Source organism: Homo sapiens, chromosome 5, assembly GCF_000001405.40.
Source record: "Homo sapiens chromosome 5, GRCh38.p14 Primary Assembly".
In the NCBI taxonomy this organism is placed as follows: domain Eukaryota; kingdom Metazoa; phylum Chordata; class Mammalia; order Primates; family Hominidae; genus Homo; species Homo sapiens.
In genome coordinates, this window is record NC_000005.10 from 3,949,768 (window position 1) to 3,969,477 (window position 19,710).

A 19,710-nucleotide genomic window follows, 5' to 3' on the forward strand; every position below is an offset into this window, starting at 1 on the left:
AGCACTCAATGGGGTAAAAATATCTTCACAGTTTTTGACTACTCAGAGAGGTTCATCCACATAATTTTTCCCCAAATTTCTTTGTGACCAATTTTCCAATCATGCTTCTTCCATGTCCTTGACCATCCAGCCAAACCTTTGGCTACAGCCCATGAATCAGTATATAATTACACATCTGGTCATTTCTCATTCCATGCAAAGTGCATAGTCAGGTGCACTGCTCAAAGTTTTGTCCACTGGGAATATTTTCCTTCACCACTATCCTTCAGGGATGTCATGGAATAGGTCTGTAGTGCTGCAGCTGTCTACTTTTGGGTGTGCCTGCATATCATGCAGAACTATCTGTGGCCCTAGTCTTCTCTTGCTCTGTCAACTGATCATAGGCAACTCCACATGAGGCCATTGGTGCAGGCTCGGGGAGGAGGCAGGGCTGCAGGAGTGGAGATTATGGACACTTAAGTCACTTCCTCATGTAACTTATTTGTGCCTTCAGGAACTGCTTAAGCCCGATCATGTATATACTTCATTTGATGATGGAATGCTCCTGTGCACGACCCACTTTATGGCTAGATGGGTCAGAAAGCACCCAGTTTATGATAGGCAATTCAGGTTGCATGGTGACTTAATGACCCATAGTTAAACGTTCAGTTTCCACCAAAGCCCAGTAACAGGCCAAGAGCTGTCTCTCAAAAGGAGAGTAGCTATCTGCAGAAAATGGCCTTGTTCCCAAATCCTAGAGGCCTCCACTTTGATTCACCTATGAGGGCCTGAAAAAGTCTCCAAACAGCATCCCTATCTGCCACTGACACCTTAAGCACCATTGGATATGCTGGGTCATATGGCCTAAATGACAGAGCAGCTTGCACAACAGCCTGGACCTGTTGCAGAGCCTTCTCCTGTTCTGGACCCCACTCAAAACTGTCAGCCTCTTGGGTCACTCAATAAATGGGCCAGATTAACACACCCAAATTAGGAATATGTTGCCTCCCAAATCCAAATAGGCCCACTAGGCATTGTGCCTTTTTCTTGGTTGTAGGAGGGGCCAAACGCAGCAACTTATCCTTCACCTTAGAAGGAATATCTCAACAGTCCCCACACCACTGGACCCCTAGAAATTTTACTGAGGTAGAAGGTCCCTGAATTTTTGTCCAATTTATTTCCCATCCTCTGGTACTCAAATGTTTCACCAATAAGTCAGTCCAGTGTGTTTGCTATTTCTTTCTCACAGGATCAAATCAGCATAATGCCATCAATGTAATAGACCAGTGTGATATCTTGCAGAAGCAAAAAGCAATGAATTTCTCTCCAAATAAGATTATGACACAAAGCTGGAGAGTTGGTATACCCCTGAGGTAGGACAGTAAATGTATATTGCTGGCCTTGCCAGCTGAAGGCAAATTGCTTCTGGTGGGCCTTATGGACAGGAATGGAGAAAAAGGCATTTGCCAAGTCAATGGCTGCATACCAGGTACCAGGAGATGTGTTAATTTGCTCAAGCAATAAACCACATTTCATACAGCAGCTGGAATTGGAGTCACCACTTGGTCAAGCTTACAATCCACTGCCATTATCCAAGATTGATCTGTCTTCTGCACGGGCCAAATGGGAGAGTTGAATGGAATGTGGTGGGAATCACTAACCCTGAGTCTTTCAAGTTCTTGATGGTGGCACTAATCTCCACAATCCCTCCAGGGATGCAATATTGTTTTTTATTTACTATTTTCCTAGGTATAGGCAGGTCTAGTGGCTGCCATTTGGCCTTTCCCACCATAGTTGCCTCAACCTACCGGTCGGGGAGCCAATGTGTGTGTTCTGCCAGCAACTAATTATGTCTATGTTAATTATGCATTCTGGCACTGGGGAAGTTACAAAAGGATGAGTCCAGGGACCCATTGGACCTACTGTAAGTCAGACTTGTGCTAAAACTCCATCAATTACCTGACCTCCATAAACCCCTACTTTAACTGCAGGACCAGGATGACATTTTGGGTCCCCTGGAATCAATGTCAGCTCAGAGCCAGTGTCCAGGAGTCCCCAAAATATCTGATCACATTCCTTTCCTCAGTGCACAGTTACCCTGGTAAAAGGTTGGTGGTATCCTTGGGGAAGGATGGGAGAAAGATTCACTACATAACTTTTCAGTAATGTAATGGGGTTCTTTCTGAAGGGGACACAGCCTCCCCTTCATTCAAAGGGTTCTGGGTCTGTAAACTGGCTCAAGTCTGGAAATAGACTGTGGGTGCATGATTCTCTGTTTTTATACTTCAAATTAGTCTTTTGCCCGTTCAACCTAGAAGTTTTCTGCTTATATAAATTAAGTAAGAATGCAGTAGACTTCCTATCAATTTCACTTCTAGGAACACCGTGATTAATTAGCCAGTGCCAGAACTCTACAAGAGTCAGTTTATTCTGATTGCCACTTTGCCTATTCTGTCCATGATGGCAGCTACACCCACCTTGCTTTTGACAGTTGAGTGGTGTCATTGGCCCCTGCCACCTCCAGGTCCAATAATTCCCATTGTCTTTAAATTTTGCAGTTGAGTGACTGCAGTTCCCACTGTTAGATCTGTCATACAGAGAAGAGCAATTACAAGGCTCTTCAAAGATGCAGTTGCTGCCCTTGCAAATCTATTTCTCAAGGCATTGGCCAAAGGTATATCTTCTGGACCCCTCCATATGGGATGAGTAGGTTTAAAGTGACTAATCCACTCCACCCTCCCAATCTCCCTAAGCCTTTGGATCCCTTTCTTTACATTAAACCAAGGGAGATCAGGCATTTCCAACTCTTTCACAGTAGGCCATCTTTTAATCCATATTTCAGCTAACCAAGCAAATAAACTATCAGAACATTTTTAAACTCCCTGAGCTGCAACATTAAATGCAGAGTCCCTACTTAGTGGGCCCAAATCAATAAATTCAGCCTGATCCAACTCTAAGTTCCTTCTACCATTATCCCACACCCTTAATATGCATTCCCATGCTTGTTCTCCAAATTTCTGTTTCTATAAATTAGAAAGCTCAAGCAGTTCTTTTCGAGTGTCATGCACCTCCTCATGGATCACACTCTCAATATCACCTCTAGGGACCTGCCAGGGCTTTAGTCTAGTTATAGGTTTAGAAGTAAACAGGGGTGTAGTGGGTGGCTCCTGAGGAGAATCAACATTATTTTGCCTGGTATCTGCCTCAGGGGAGGCCATCACTGTTCCCTCAGACAGCACAGGGTTTATCTCTTCAGACAAAAGTGGAAAGGCTGATGGCAGGATGGGTCAGGGAGGAGATGTTGTCACTAATGGAAATGGGGAAGCTGCTCCTTCTGGCAAAAAAGATTCATCAAGGTTTACAAACTCAGTGTCCCCAGCTTCATCAGGGTCCTCCCACACGTCCCCATTCCAAGTTGCAAGGTCCCATTCTTTTCCAGTCAATACCCTCACTTTAACACTAGACACCTAATGAGGCTGTGCATGCACCTTTTTTTTTTTTTTTTTTTTTTTTTTTTTTTTTTTTGCAGATCAGCCACTCTCACGATAAGAGCTTGTGTCTGATTTTCCACAATTTCAGCTCTTTCTCTATAGGAGATAAGACTCCACTCAGGGCAATCTTAGCAGATGGGAGGCCCAGTATCTTCTTCTGAAGCTGGGAGACAGAATCCTTGAATTCATCATTTTCTTTCATCACTTTGTCCACTGAACTTAGGAGCAACCAACCAGCTTCATTATGTCCCTTGATTCTTCACATATGGTCAAAGATATTATGTACAGAGTCACTAAACTCCTTGCCTCTCATGAGTGGTGAATCAACATTGTCAAATGCATTTATTTTGCATAACTCTCTGAACAGTTCATGCCAAACTATCAGTGTTCTCCCTACTATTAGAAGTAGAGTCCTTAGCATTTTGGGGCCTAATCATATTAAGCAGCCAACTCCAAAAACCCCCAAACCAACTAAAGAACTCTATCTTTAATATTCTGTTCCTCTAGAACCACTCCTGGTACCAAAATCTGTATCAGTCAGCGTTCCCTAGAGAGACAGAACTAATAGGATAGATATATACATGTAAAGGGGAGTTTATTAAGTTTTAACTTGCGTGATCACAAGATACCACATTAGGATCTCTGCAATCTTGACGAGCAAGGAAAGCCAGTCTGAGTCTCAAAACTGAAGAACTTGGAGTCTAATGTTTGAGGCCAGGAAGCATCCAGCATGGGAGAAAGGTGTGGACTGGGAGGCTAGGCCAGTTTTACCTTTTCATATTTTTCTGCCTGCTTTATATTCGCTGGCAGCTGATTAGATTATACCCATGAGATTAAGGGTGGGTCAGCCTTCCCCAGCCCCCTGACTCAAATGTTAATCTCCTTTGGCAACACCCTCACAGACACACGCAGGATTAATACTTTGCATACTTGAATCCAATCAACTTGGCACTCAGCATTAACTATCACAGGACCTGTTGATGTGCTGACCAGCTGGAGTATTCCCTGCTTCACTTGCCCCTTCCTGGAGTGCCAGTTAACCAGATCAGTCCCTAGCCCACTGGGTTTGTTCTTCTCACGTTCATTCATGTCTCTTGTTTCCATTGCTGAACCAAGACCCATCTGCTGTGTGTTGCAATAGAGTATCATCATCTCCATACATCACTGCACTTGCATGAGGGACTTGGAGCCACTCAGGATGTGGTCAGGTCTCCTTACCGGCAAGTGTTTGTAGCAAGATTTGAATAATAACATCTGGAGCTTGAAGATCAAGAATGTCCTTGACGATGCTGATCCCTGGCTATGGATCAGGAATGTCCTTGAAGATGCTGATCCCTGGCTATTCCATGATTTGGGAAGCACAGGAAGAACTCAAGTAGACATTACTCTGGATTTCCTTATTCTCATATCTCCTTTTAATGCATAAGGTTTGCTCTAGACTTTATGTTTGTGTCCTCTTAAAATTCATGTGTTGAAGTCATCACCCACGATGTGATGGTATCAAGGAGGTGGGCATTTGGTAGGAGATTAGGTCATGAGAGTGGAACCCTCAGGAATGGGATGGGTGCTGTTATCAAAGAGACTCAGAGAGCTCTCCTGCCCCTCCCACCACGGGAGGACACAGTGAGGAGGTGCCCTCTGTGAACCAGGATACGGGGCCTCACTAGACACAGAATCTGTCAGTGCCTTGCTCTTGAATGTCCCAGCCTCCGGAACTGTGATGATTATGTTACTGTTATTCACATTACCATCTACGGTATTCTGTCACAGCAGCTCAAATAGATAGACGGCATTACGGGCAAGAATATTATTTTCAGGCCCCTTCCTTCTTCTTCCTATTCTTACAGCATTTCTTTTCTTTAGGATATTTAACATTTCCAAACGTTAGATGATCTCAGAGACTTACAAATGTGATACAAATTGGAACCTTCTATACGCATTTTAGCAAAATAAACACTATTTTGAAATACCTGAAATTGCATATAAGTTTTATATATTTGGAACACACACACACACACATTCTCTCTCTCTCTCATCTCAAAGTTTGCTACGATAGAGCACTAAGCAGCTGTTTGTCTTTGGTGAGTGTCTTACCTTTGACATGCCATGTTTGTTTCCCAGGTGTGAAATGGTGATAAGAATAGTATTTGTCAATGAATACTTACCATGTTGTCTGTCACATGTCCTTTTTTTATTTAAAAACTTTTGTTGCACCTATCAACCACCATGGCACATGTATACCTATGTAACAAACCTGCTCATTCTGCACATTTATCTCGGAACTTAAAGTAAAATACAAAATGAAAAATAAAATAAATCTTAAACATTTGGTTGTAACTATTACAACTTTAGATATTTGCATCACTATTTCTGTTTCTGAAACAAGTCACTAAACAATCAAAGACTTCATACAGGTTGATGCATTATCTTTAATGCAATAAAGTTATTTCCGTCAGATATTCAACCTAATTTGAACTTGGTAATCGTATAACCCCCTGGTCTTGGAATCATTAAGATTGGACAGATAAGGCTTTCCATTGGATCCCTCTACTCTTGCAGTCTCTTTCTATTACATAAGACACTTTTAACATCAAATGTATACATTGCACGAAAACAAAAAATAAAATCTCAAAGCACTCATAATAAGCTGTGTATTATTATTGTTTCATTAAAACTAAATTCATCAGGCACGGTGGCTCATGCCTGTAATCTCAGCACTTTGGAAGGCTGAAGCAAGTGGATCTTTTGAGCTCAGGAGTTCAAGACCAGCCTGGAAGATAGCGAGACCCCATCACTACTAAAAATACAAAAAAAACAAAAATAGCTGGGCATGGTGGTGCACACCTGTGGTTCTAGCTGCTCAGGAGGCTGAGGTGGGAGGATCACTTTAGCTCAGGAGGGCAGAGGTTGCAGTGAGCTGAGATGGCACCCCTGCACTCCAATCTGGAGGACAGAGCGAGACACTGTCTCAAAACAAACAAACAAACAAACAAACAAACATCTATAAATTCTGTTACAAATTATTTCTAATCACTTTTAAATTGATGATTCATGTGAGTACATATATCACAGGAAATATTATTTAGGTTGAACCACATAAAATTGCCTTTTGAACGTCAAAAATGCTCAAATATTTGCGATTTCATATGGTCTAACCTAAAATTTAATTTTGAAGGTACAGATAAATCTTTTTAAAATTTAATATTCTAAATATACAAAATATATGTTTTACAGACAGTTTAAAAATGATTGTGTTCTAAATGAGCTGCACACAATTCCACCATATATACATTATCATTGTGAATTGAGCAGCTCCCTCGTTTAGGGACTGAATGAAATATTTATGGTGGACCAAATAAAAAGCCTTGTAATGGCAAATTCCTATATCTGGGGACATAGCTGTCACTGTGGGCACCAGTGAAATAGCTCTGGCCTAATTTCATCTGACTTTGGATGTGTGCAAATCACAGGAAAATGTGAACTGACTACAGCCTGAGAAAATCAGCAAAGACAGAAAATCATTGCAAATCAGAACCTTATCAATATTTCACTAGACTAAGACTAGACATCTTACTCCTCCAGAAGCAGAAAGCTGTTTTCCTGAAACCTTAACACTGGGATATAAAAGTTCACCACAACACTCTTTTATGCCAAGAATTCAAATTAGACCTCAGAATCCACTGTTTATGTATATCTATGTCACATGAAATTAAAATTTGCAGGTCTACATTTAGTGTCCTTGGATAACAGAAATATTCGTAGGGTTTATTCTAATTTGAAAACCATTCCGTCCATGCATTTCTCTTTGTCTACAGTTTTTTAATAGAGAGCTGCATTGGAATCTATTTGGAAATTATTCTTACCAGCATGACTATGACCTTGAATCAAGAGATCAGCTCCATGATAACTTCATGGTTCTTTCTGATACCGAAAGGAAAAGAGTGCCCTTTTATGGCTCACTACACTTCTTCCTGACATCCCTAGTGTGACAGCTTGGAAGTTTGGGGATTTTAAAAAAATGTTCCAGTCACTTAAAAACAAAACAAACAAAACACATAAACAGGAAACGACCTCCAACCTAGTCCCAAAATAGAGTGGATTCTTAGTTTGATCACCGTGGAGTTTTCTCCAAGAAATATACTCAACCGCGTAGAACTTTGGAGATACAATTCTTTGTTCTGTGATACATTTCTTTTAGAAAGAGGCAAATAAAGCAAGAAAAATAAACAAAACACACCAATTAAGGTTCAACTTAATACTTCACATAAACTCAGAGAACATTGATAAATTTAGCCATTTGCTGGGTTTGGAAGGCTTATGTTTTGGTTTGTCATTTGAGTTTTTGCCTTAAGGTAGGAAAAATGTGCTTCCAGTGTTTATAAAAGTAGGAACTCTGCAGGGAAAAATGTTTTAGATATGTTAGAGCTTTTGTCAAAATTAAAATGTCCAGGTCAGAAAACGGTGGCCAATTTAGATAACTTAAAGATGTAAAAAATCGTAATTACCTATGAGACGGGATCTTATGCACACACACATGCAAACACATGCATGCACACACACATGCACACATACACATGCATGCATGCACACACATGCACACATACACACGTGCATATATACACACATGCACACACACATGCATACATACACATGCATGCACACATACACATACACGCACACACACATACACAAGTACATGAACATACACATACACACATGCAGTCACACATGCACACACACCTGCACGCATGCACACACACCTGCATACATACACACATGCATGCACGCACACACAATTGGCTTCTTTCTCCCAGCACACTAAAGCTCCATTAGTTTTTCAAAAAACATCCCCCTTGTCTCAGATTCTGCCTAACGGCCAATTTCTCCCTTGCCACTTATTTCTATTCCGGTCCCCCAGAGAATGCATTCAGAATTAGTGCTTCTCCTACATCAGTTCCCAATCATTCCATGGAGCTCACCACTCAACTGGGAGGGCTCTAGCTGAGAGTAGTGTCTCATTTTTCCCAAATTTCAGAGTCACTTTTAGCCCTTCCCTTACTAAACACCATTCTACTCCCTCATTTCGTGTCTTTTCTCATCCTTCTTTTGATGAAATGCTCACATTCCATGGCTCCACACCCACTCCTCTCCACATCCCAGGACTCTCCAGGGATGTCCCTGCACTCATGGCCTTGGTCCTCTGGAGGCCTTCTGGCCCCCATCGCCCTCAGGCCTTCATGGTCCTCTCCACTGTCTTCCTGTACAGGCTCTCTCTGCAGAGCGCCTCCTCATCCACCGCTTCTCCCATCACAGTCAGGCTCCTTATTTGCCACTCTGTATTTTTCGCCCCATCTGCCTCCTGTGGCTGATGAGTCGTGCATGTAGATTCCTGACAGTCGGTATGCCAGACATGAACTCTGTCAGTTAGATATTGCATCCACCTCTTTCCCCAAGACCAGATAGAACTTGAGGAGCACCAAATAAAAATGCAGGCTCTTTTGATAAAAAAAAAGAATTTCAAAAGGTTCACAGTAAAGCAAATCCAAGCATAGGGCATGGGTGAGATGCAGTTCCTGGTCTCTGTGCTGGATGGAGCCACAATTTGGTTCCAAGTAACTGAATAAGTATCTGGGAACTCCATATCAAAACTCTAATTAATAGTGTATATTATTAAATATGCAAATATTAAATATTTAAACACTGAGTGCTTAAAACTAATGCAGAGGCTACTGCCCTAGAAAATCATGTGCACCCTTTTTAAGATTTACGCTCTTCTCCCCTCCCCGTCATCAGACCAATAACAAGAGTTGTCAGTGCCTTCTGCCCAGAGAACTACTCAGCCTGCAAGGAAGCTACAGGTCTTGGAAAATACGTAGCAGCAGGATGCAGGGAACTAGGTGTGGGACTGTGTCCTCAGGGTTCCATAAAAGAGGACAGAATATAAAGGTAGATTAGCGTTTATTAGATCTTCCCCACATGGGAGTCACTCATCACACAGGAATTAAAATTCTGGCAAGGCGCTGCTAAATTGGCTCTTGGGAGGAAGCAGTGACCCACACTGGCAGAGTGGAAATGCTAAACCTGCCATGGAAAATGATGGAGTGGTGGAGGAAGAAACCTCCAGTCCTGGGAAAGGGAGCTGGCTAGGACAGAGTGCTCTGGGAGTGTTTGGAAGATGTTCTATGTCCTGAAATGTCAAGAAATAGACTTTTAGAAAGGCATGGCAGTGTCACAACCCTCAGTGATACCCGTGTACTGAAGGCAGGATCTCAAAGTAGAAAATGCTGTCTGAAATGGGACTTCCTGATAGTGGTGGTGTGGAGAAGGGACTCTTGAAACAACAGGAGCCAAGTCCACTGCCAACCCCTGGTCTGCAGGAGAAAGGCTGGCACGGTGACTGGAACACGTGTCCACCATGAACCTGCCTCCCAGGATCCTGAGCACTGTGTTCCCAGAAGCCAAGAAAACAGACAATCAACATGGATAGTATCCAATCTCTATCACCAAAAAATTACAAAGTGAAAGGTCAGGGGGCTGAGGACAGCCACGCCAACAGGAAGTCTTGATGACCCCTGGCCCATGTCTCAGACCTGAGCAGCCATCACTGTCCTCATCTACCAGCTGGAGGAAAGGCCAGAGCCCCATGAGGAAGGACAAAGGTGGAGTCCTGGGGACCAAAGACAGGCGTCACAAGTCTCCTCTCACTGTACTTCCTCCGGGAGCTGTGTTTCTCTCCATCTGCTGTCCCTGGAGGCTCTGTGGATCTAGTGGTGACGGTTCCCAAAGGGGAATGATTTCTACCAGGGGACCCAGGGGGAAAGCTGCTAAGTTGGAAGTCCTGGCTGTCTTTTCCGTCACTTCAGATTCCTTGCACGGATGGACAACAGGGAAGGGAAGGCTTACTGTCCACAAAGAGGTAAGGCTATTTCTGAATAACAGGTGCTGGGAAATGTGTTTGGTACGAAGGTGACCCACTGTGTACCCCCTACTGCCCTCCTGCTCTGCCCTGACAGTAAGTGGACAAGTACAGCATCCATAGCCTAAGAAGGACGTGGTGCCAGCAGAGGTACTGTCAACGTGGGAGGAATTTAGAATGAACAGTGCACAGACAGAGATGAGCCCACTTGCCACCTGGGCAACAGCCGTGATGGCAGAGGCTATATGCATCCCACTAACCTTCCCTCATTCAGTTCTCGCCTCATATAGATGCTGCTCCTCAGAGCACTCCCTCATAAACAGCCTGAATCTGTGTCTCAGTCTCAGTGGTTGTTTCCCGTGCGACCTGACCTTTGACACTTTCTTCCAGACCAATAACTACATCCATATCACCACAAAGGGGTGCAAGATATTCTCTTTTTTTTTTTCTGCTCTGGAAAGATAAAGCTCTCTATCAAAAGAACTACAGATTTCTTCTAATTTGCCTGAGCAGGACCTGGGAGAGCATGCTGGAGATGGATTTTGAGGGTGTTGGACTAGGGAGATGAGAATTTAAATCTGGATAGGAAAGGAGTTCATTGACATGAGAGCAGTCCTATTACTTGGGAAACAAATAATGGCTAGGACTCAAGAAGAATCTTAATGTACTGCCTGCCTAGCTGCTAGAAGCTTGGATTTAAATATGGCCTGGAGTCAATGAAGTTGAGAAGCTGAATGTGCCCAGCCAGAGCACTGAGGCAAGGGTCAGAAGGTTCAGAGTGGCAGGGATGGTAAATGGGCTTATCACAGGAGACCAAGCAACAGGCCACCCAATTAAGACTCCTTGACGAGACTCAGAGGGCCCTCCCTTTAAAGAATGCATGGTGGCTCTCACCTGTAGGACAGGGCTGCAGTGTCATGGGCTGACCTGGAGTCCCAAGTATCCGTGGAAACAACAGAATCTAACAATGGCAGAGCTCAACCATCAGTGACCAGATGGGCATCATGACTGCAATGGATAGCAAGGCCTGAGTGGCAAGCAGAGTGCCTTTACCTGGAAGAGCTGGAAATACGTGAATTTTCTCATTTATGTAACAGAGAGAGAAAAAAGAGAGAAGACAGAGAGAGAGAGAGAGAGAGAGAGTAAGCAGAAGGCCAATGTCAGCCCTGCACCAAGTTCATTTCAGAATTGGTCCAATAGATCCACCCCCCACCTGCATTTTCCACCCTGTTTTACTGTCCGTTGTTTGCCTACTTGTGTTCACCCACCCTCGCTACGGCCATGGTGGTGCTATGGTCACACTGGCCTTACTGAGCATGGGCTACATTACCGGAGCTTGAACCGTACGCTCTTGCTTGATAAAACCCTCCTAAAGCATTCTGAGGGAGACATCACTGTCACTGTTACAGATGCAACATTGAGCCCAAGGCTAGACATCGCAGAGCAGCAGACCTGGCGTCTGGCTGTTCTAGTGCATGACCATGAATTGAGGAGACCCTCAGACAATGCTGCCTTCTATGTGTTTAAAATAGATCCTTCAGACTATCATTTGCTTATTTATTTTAGATTCGTGGTTCTATTTGAAACTATTTAAAAGTCACGGCATCCCGTTGGCATTATGTAAAGCCATGTGCCTGTATTTCATCTTCCCTCCCTACCTATCACCTGGATATTATGTCACTTTTCCTCTTTATAGAGAAAAATTGTTAGTCTTTTCCACATATTTAAAAATTGTCCAAAAGAAATGTATTTGTTTTAAAATGATGGTTAGCGAGTTTTCTTCTTTGCTTTGTTTTTAACTGCTGTGGTTATACACGGTGCTCTGTGAATGAAGGGTTTCAGCCAAAGAACTGCAGAGCAGAGGCTTCCTAGAGAGGGGCATGGTGGGCAGCATCTCTGCACTGTGTCCAGCTTTCACCCCAGAACCACCCTGGGCCAGCATGCACCGACTGTTGCAAGAGAAGGCCTCTTGGCAGAAAGAAAAAAAACCACTACAGCATCCAGGTGACAGAGAGAGGACGCAACCATGCCCGCTTTGCCTCCGCGACGCATTGTATTTTTCCTAAACTGCAGTTCCCCGGCACCCTGTCTGTATTGCGTATTGGCTTGCTCAGCTATACTGTGTGCATTTCCTAAGAAAGACGGAGCAGCAGATGAGGCTCCGATCGCACTCCTGGCGCTGTCCAGCCCATGGTGGGAGAAGTGCAGCCGCGTCTGAACGTACCTCTTCTGAGAGCCGCGCACGCAGATTTAGGAGCTGATTGTGACGATGACTATTTCTGAGCTAATCTTTCAAATGTTTCTTTCTATGAAATGAAGACGTAAATAAAACAGGAAGGAAATATCACCAAGCAGGAAAAGGGGGAGGAAAGCATTTGGTGTTGGGTTCTGTAATCACCAGAGTGCTCCTGCCCGTGGCTAATGTGAGGGTGATGGGACATCGTAATCCCTTCCCTGAGCTCCTTTACTGCAGCCATGATGACTAAATTTCTTGTGTCTTATCACACTGTCACAGGCTGGAACCAGGAGAAGGGGCTCTGAAGAAAACACAGCATGGAAACCAGAAAGAAGATGATCAGATTACCAGCCCCTGGATTTGTGAGCCGGTCTCAATCGGACCAGAGCAGGCTTGATTTCAGACCCGCAGAGTCTCAGACGCCAACCTCACCCCCTTCCTCCCCGCACACCACTATTTTTAAAGAACCCCCAACCTCTTTCCAATCATGATAGTGTTGCTTTCTTTTCTTTTTCTATTTTTTTTTTTCCTTATCTATCCACCGAAAATCTTCTAATGAAAGAGAGTACCACTTCAGGAACTTCAGGGTTGGGAAAATCAGACGGATTCGTGGATTTCAAGTTAGAAATGCCTCCTAGAATATTTAAAATCAAAACAGATAGAGAAGTGGAAACTTAAGTTCTTTGCCCCTTGAAGAAATGTACATGTCTCTTGCAGATATTCTTCGGGGCAGGCAATAGTGGGGTTCTCTTTCACAGCATCCTCATCACTTTCGTGATTCTGAATCGCCCCTGTCACCCTTTGAAAGAAGAAGAGACCCAGCTCCGTGCTCAGCATGCCTGCTTCTCAGAGCTGCCCCCTTTGGATTTTGAGGGAGAAGGGTTTATGTTGTTTATTGGGGTGGTAAAAAAAAATGCCTGATGCCTGTTTCCTTGTGCTTAGCACAACCAGGGTGGCATTCATCTTCAATAATGTAAGTGTATGTGCATTACCTTTGAAGACCTAGGGTAGTATAAGGAATGGTTGGGAGTGGCCCGTCGGGACTAATCTCCTCTACCTGCAGTGTCCCAGGACCCACGTTTGGCTTCATGGAGAACCTGGACCACACATCTCCAACCTGCCATGTTCTTCCTCCAGGTTCTGTCACTGAGTCATAAACTCAGGGAAGGTGCTAGAGACATCAAGATGGGGAATGTCTATTCCCTGTCCATCTGGATTTTACAATAAGCAGCAAGATAGATTCATCCAAAAGAGCTCAGTTTTTTAAAAGATATTGAGCAAAGATGAGCATGTACAAAAACATGAAAAACCATGCTCTGAGGAAAGACTCATGCGTTCATTGAACAAGTAAGATAATTGAGCTGTAGAAAGAAATATGGTGAAATACCCTTGCAAAGAAATTTTGAAAAATGTCATGTTGCCTTTTATGTTATCTTGATGTAGAACCAAAACCACAACAAAATTGCCAGCTTTGCAAGAAAAGTCATTATGGCTAGGGGAAGAAAAAAAGAACATACAAGACAAAAGCAATGTTGGTAAATGACAGGAAGCATGCCAAGTTCTTCAGTCACATATAAACTACAATGAAATAAAATAAATCTTACATTAATAAGAAAATTCAAGATGTCAATTTTTTGAAGTTTTCTTGTTATTTTACCCATATATTCTGCAGATTTACATTTTTTAGGTGCTGGAGGGAGTGGGTAGTGTTGAAGGGCACTAACTGTGCCATTAACCCACTTGTAGTTGAAGCTTTGCCCGGTGTTGCTAGCCGTGGTCCTTGTGGGTGACCAGTTGAGCCTCCCCAGTGCTGTTTCATAATCAGTTGAAGGAAGAACTATTGCTTTTCATAGAATGGCCATGAAAAGCCTGCAATACAGAGTAAAGTCTCCATGAATATTGGTTACCATTTTTAATGATGGCTTGTGTGTGTGTGTAATGATCTAAAAGAAAAGAAACTTTGAGGTATACACATACGTTATTGAAACGTCATATTTTCTCTGGAGCTGGATTTCCATGGAATGACTGATTCAGAGGTTTTGTGGGAAAATATACATATATTTTTAATTGAGATAGGGTCCCTGTGACACTTTGGATATAAGAGATTAGTCCCAATGGGCCTCCCAGGCTAGAGTGCCATGGCACAATCTCCATTTACTTCAGCCTCAAAGGAGCTTCCTGGGCTCAAGTGATCTTCCTATCCAAGACACCCATGTAGCTGGGACTCGAGGAACACACCACCGTGCCCAGCTAATTTTTGCATTTTTTGCAGAAACAGGGTTTTGCTATGTTGCTCAGGCTTCTCTCCAACTCCTGAACTCAAATGATCTACCCACCTCGGCCCCCCAAAATGTTAGGATTACAGGTGTGAGCCACCGTGCCCAGCCATGTCAGAAATATTTGAAGGCTTATTTCTTTGTCAAAAACAAAAATGAGGCCAGGCATGGTGGCTCACCCATGTAATCCCAGCACTTTGGGAGGCCGAGGCCAGTGGATCACCTGAGGTCAGGGGTTGAAGACCACCCTGCCCAACAGGGTGAAACCTGGTCTCTACTAAAATTTTGTATTTTTTGTAAAATACAAAAAAAAAATAGCCAGGTGTGATGGTGTGTGCCTGTAGTCCCAGCTACTTGGGAGGCTGAGGCAGGAGAATCACTTGAATCTGGCAGGTGGAGGTTGCAGTGAGCCGAGATTGTGACAGAGCAAGACTCCGTCTCAAAAAAAGATGTTCCTAGCAGGGTGGCATTTGTGTAGAATTACACTACCTCGGCACTATTGTAATATTGACTAGATGATTCTTTGCTTTGGGGTCTGCCTCAGAATTGTGTCCCTACCCTTAGGATGCCAGTGACACCCCTCCATTTAGTCATGACAATCAAAAATGCTCAGACATTGCCAAGTGTTCCCACAGGGACAAAATCTCCCCCAGGAGAGAACCACTGACATGACCCTCAGATAACCTGGGATGCTCTGGGCAAAGCGTTCTTCCACTTCCACCTCTGAATCTGAGCAGACTTTCAACGGCATGCAAGCAGGTTGGCTCAGAGGACGATAATGCAGGCCTGTGTCCTCAAAAAATGCATGCCTTAGAAGGTGAAATAAATGGTGGGTAAATTTGGCACACACCTTCTTAAGCAAGCCTTCTTCGAACCTTTTCATTTTCATTTATGGGAACTGCCCCACTGCAGACTCTCAGCGCATGGCACAGCCAACTGTCCACACCTGTAAGACAATTAGAGCCTTAGAATTGAGAAATTTCTTATAGTGGTCTAGAAATTTTAAAAATGTTTTTGAAAGGTCAGATTTTATGCACAACACAAATTATACTATGAGGCTAGTTAGTTCAAAGTACCCTTTTAAATAAAGAAAGAAGGTGGTAGCTAAATGGTAAAAAAAAGTTAATGATTGAATTTGATTTTTAAAATATTTTCTAATGAGCTGGTTTAATGCTTATGCTAACATTTTAACTCTCATCATATTAAAGATGAAAATGTAAACCTATTATGTATTATTTTCAATAATGGAAAAAATGAGGAAACTGCAATTCAGAACATTTAAAACAATAACAAATTCAATTTGTAATAAACCCAGCAAGAAATTCAATGAAATAATTCAGGAGGCATTAACTTCACAATTATCCCGAAACATAGAAAAACACAAGCAAATGTTTTGGATAAAAATATATTCATTTACACAATGTTGTAAGTTGAAGAAAAGAAAATATGTTTTTTATTTAAATAATTTGGTACTTTGTTTCTAAATAATGTCTGTAAAATTTTTTAGAAAGGCCAAAACTTGCTGGAAGCTCTATGTATTTCTTAACAAATATAGTAAAAACATATTGTGTTGCTTTTATGTTGATAGGTTTCCACTGGAAAGCATATCCCTGCTTATAATTTTCCTTTAAAATTAATTTTCAAATTGGTTTTAAAATTACTCATTTTGTTAAGAAATCTTGAAAGGAACTTTAATTTTACTATTTGGTTTATGATATTTTAATGTTTTTCTTTTTAATTTTTTTAACAATAAAAAGAGCTGGCATTTACTGAGAAATTGAAGCTTTTTATATATTAAATTCTTTGCACACAACATCTCATTTAACATGAATAATAATTTTCTGAGGTTAGTAATTTTGGTAAAATATCATAAGAATATATGTTTCTATTTATTTATTGAAATTCTTATAATAATATACAAGCAGATTTATACCCCTCATTTTAAACTTAATGTTAGATACTGACTATTTTAAATATCTTTTAGGATCCCCCAACCTAAATGTCAGTGTTCTTCTTTGATTATTTTTATAAGTTATTTTTCTATGATAGTATTCCAGAGTAAAATCTTCATGGTACATATTCCCAGATTGCTCTCCATAATGTTCTAATTCAGTCCTATAGTTTCAAGTAAGAGAGTATATTGCTCATAGTCACAAAAGCTGGCTATTGTGCTATATTTTTAAATTGTATCAATGTGATAAGCAAAAATAATTTTAATGGCTTTTATTTTGTAAACTTTTTATTTGGAAATGATCATAGATTTATGTGCAATTACAATAAGTCAAACAGAGAAATGTCATATAATCTTTTCTCTTATCCTCCCAATGCTAAGGCCTTGCAAGACCCGAGTGCAATCCCACAATCAGCATATTGACCTTGAGCATGACACAGAGCACTTCCGTCACCACTACTGTGATAGTCGCACCACTTCCCTTCCTCTCACACCCCCTTCTTAGCCCCTGGCTATGACAAATCTGTTTTCCATTTCTATAACTTTGCCATTTCATGAATGTTATGTGAATGGAATCCTACATTCTCTTGGGTTGGCTCTTCTGACTCAGCGTAATCTCTGCAGCTCCCTCCAGGTTGCTGCAGATATCCGATATCCTTATTACCGAGGAGTATTCCATGGCATTGGTGTACCCCAGGTTGTTTAGCCCTTAACCTATTAATGGGCTTCTGATTTGTTTCCCAATATTTGTCTATAGGGAATAAAATTTGTGAACATTAGTTGTGTGAACATTAGTTTTTGTTTTTCCAGAATACATTCCAGAAATGCAATTGCTGGGTTGCCTGATAACTGCATGTATACTTTTTTAAGGAGATGCCACACTCTTTCCAGGGTGGCTGTGCTGCTTTACAGTCCCACTGGTAATGTATGAGTGATCCAGTAGATTTTATGTAACACCTACTTTTTTTTTGAAAAAAACTTTTTTTCTTTTACTTTTGAATGATTTCAATACAATAACGAAATGCTAATATTTGTGATATGGTTAGGCTTTATGTCCCCACCCAAATCTCATCTTGAATTGTAATCCCCATAATCCCTACATTGTCAAGGGAGAGACTAGGTGAAGGAAATTGGATCATGAGGCTGGTTTCTCCCAAGCTGTTCTCGTGATAGTGAGCAAGTTCTCATGAGATCTGATGGTTTTGTAAGGGGCCCTTCCCCCTTTGCTCAGCATTTCTCCTTTCCGCCACCTTGTGAAGAAGGTAACTTACTTCCCTTCACCTTCTGTCATGATTGTAAGTTTCCTAAGACCTCCCCAGCCATGCTGAACTGTGAGTCAGTTAAACCTCTTCCCTTTATAAATTACCCACTCGTGGACAGTTCTTTACAGCAGTATGAAAACAGACTAATAGTATCTGTGTTCATGTTCATTACAGAAATATCATAAAAAGTCCTTTTGTCATTTATCTGAATGATTGCATGACTCTCTTTGTCTGATCTACTGAATAAAACCACCCTTAAGGAAATAAAGCCAAGCCTGACAAGAACGATTCCCCAGTAAAGTAGTGCCTTCCAGAACAAAACTGATGCTTATTAGCAGAAAATAATCTGGTGCCTATTCCCTACAGCAGAAAATAATCTGGTGCCTATTTCCTACAACATATCATGCACAATGTCTAGCATAAAATAACAATAAAAATCACTAGACATGTGAAGAAGGAGAAAAGTATTTATAATCCAGAAAAAAAGGAGTTAACAGTTACAAACTAAAATATGACCCAGATGTTGGAATGTTAGGAGACGAGGATTTTAAAGAAGGAATTATGAATATATTCAAAAACTTAATGACTAAAGGGAAGGGGAATCTCCCCACCACCCTGCCTTTTTTTGAGATGGAGTCTCGCCCAGACTGAAGTGCAATGGCACCATCTTGGCTTACTGCAACCTCCACCTCCTAGGTTCAAGCAATTCTCCTGCCTCAGCCTCCCAAGTAGCTGGGATTACAGTTGCACATCACCATACCCAACTAATTTTTGTATGTTTAGTAGAGACAGGGTTTCAGCTTGTTAGCCAGTCTGGCCTGGAACTCCTGACCTCAAGTGATCTGCCCGCCTCGGCCTCCCAAAGCCCTGGGATTACATGCATGAACCACTATGCCTGGTGGGAATCTCAATAGATAATAAAAGCTATGAAACAAATAGAAATTGTAGAGCTGAAAATAAACATCTTAAATTTAAAATATGTCATTGGAAGGACTTCCAGTTTCAGTTCTTACACATAAAGGACTTGGAAGTCATTATTTCCATACGTACAAAGAAAGAAATAGAAAAACTGAAAATCAGTGAATATTCTTAGACCCATCAAAAACCTGAGGCTGCAGGTGAAAGTGACACCTTAAAGTCTACAAAGAGAGGCTCATCCAGAAAGACAAATCTCAGATCTGCTAACCTGAAGCAGAAGTCACAGATGCAAAAACTGTTAATTTTGGTGAATTGTTGGAGGATGAACATGGGCCAGATTTAGAACAAACAACTCCCAGAGTCCGAAATCATAGGGGGCTGCCCACAATTTTATGCACTTTACTTCCAGGAAATTCACCAGATCCTGATGGTGAAGATCTGAGAAAGATCCCCTGGTTGGTAGAGGGGCAGATTAATCATAGTGAAATATACTCAAAGCCTTCACCATAGCACAGGCCTATACTCCAGGAAAAAAGAATACTCCAGAGACTTTTATCCTATTGGAGAGAAGCACAGTGCTTCTCTTCTATTCCCATGTAGCCCTCCAGTCTCACCCAAGGAAACATATATAGTTACTAAGGGTCAAGGATTCAAGGAAATGGCTTTGGAAAGCTGTAGCCA

General features: G+C 41.9%; 1 long non-coding RNA gene across 1 annotated transcript; it reads left to right on the forward strand.

Annotated features, from left to right (window-relative positions):
• Positions 1–11,390: 11,390 nt before the first annotated feature.
• On the forward strand, positions 11,391–14,239 carry LOC105374626 (uncharacterized). Its single transcript, XR_925714.1, has 2 exons — positions 11,391–12,809; positions 12,902–14,239. It is a non-coding gene; the product is annotated as an uncharacterized LOC105374626 (long non-coding RNA).
• Positions 14,240–19,710: the final 5,471 nt, after the last annotated feature.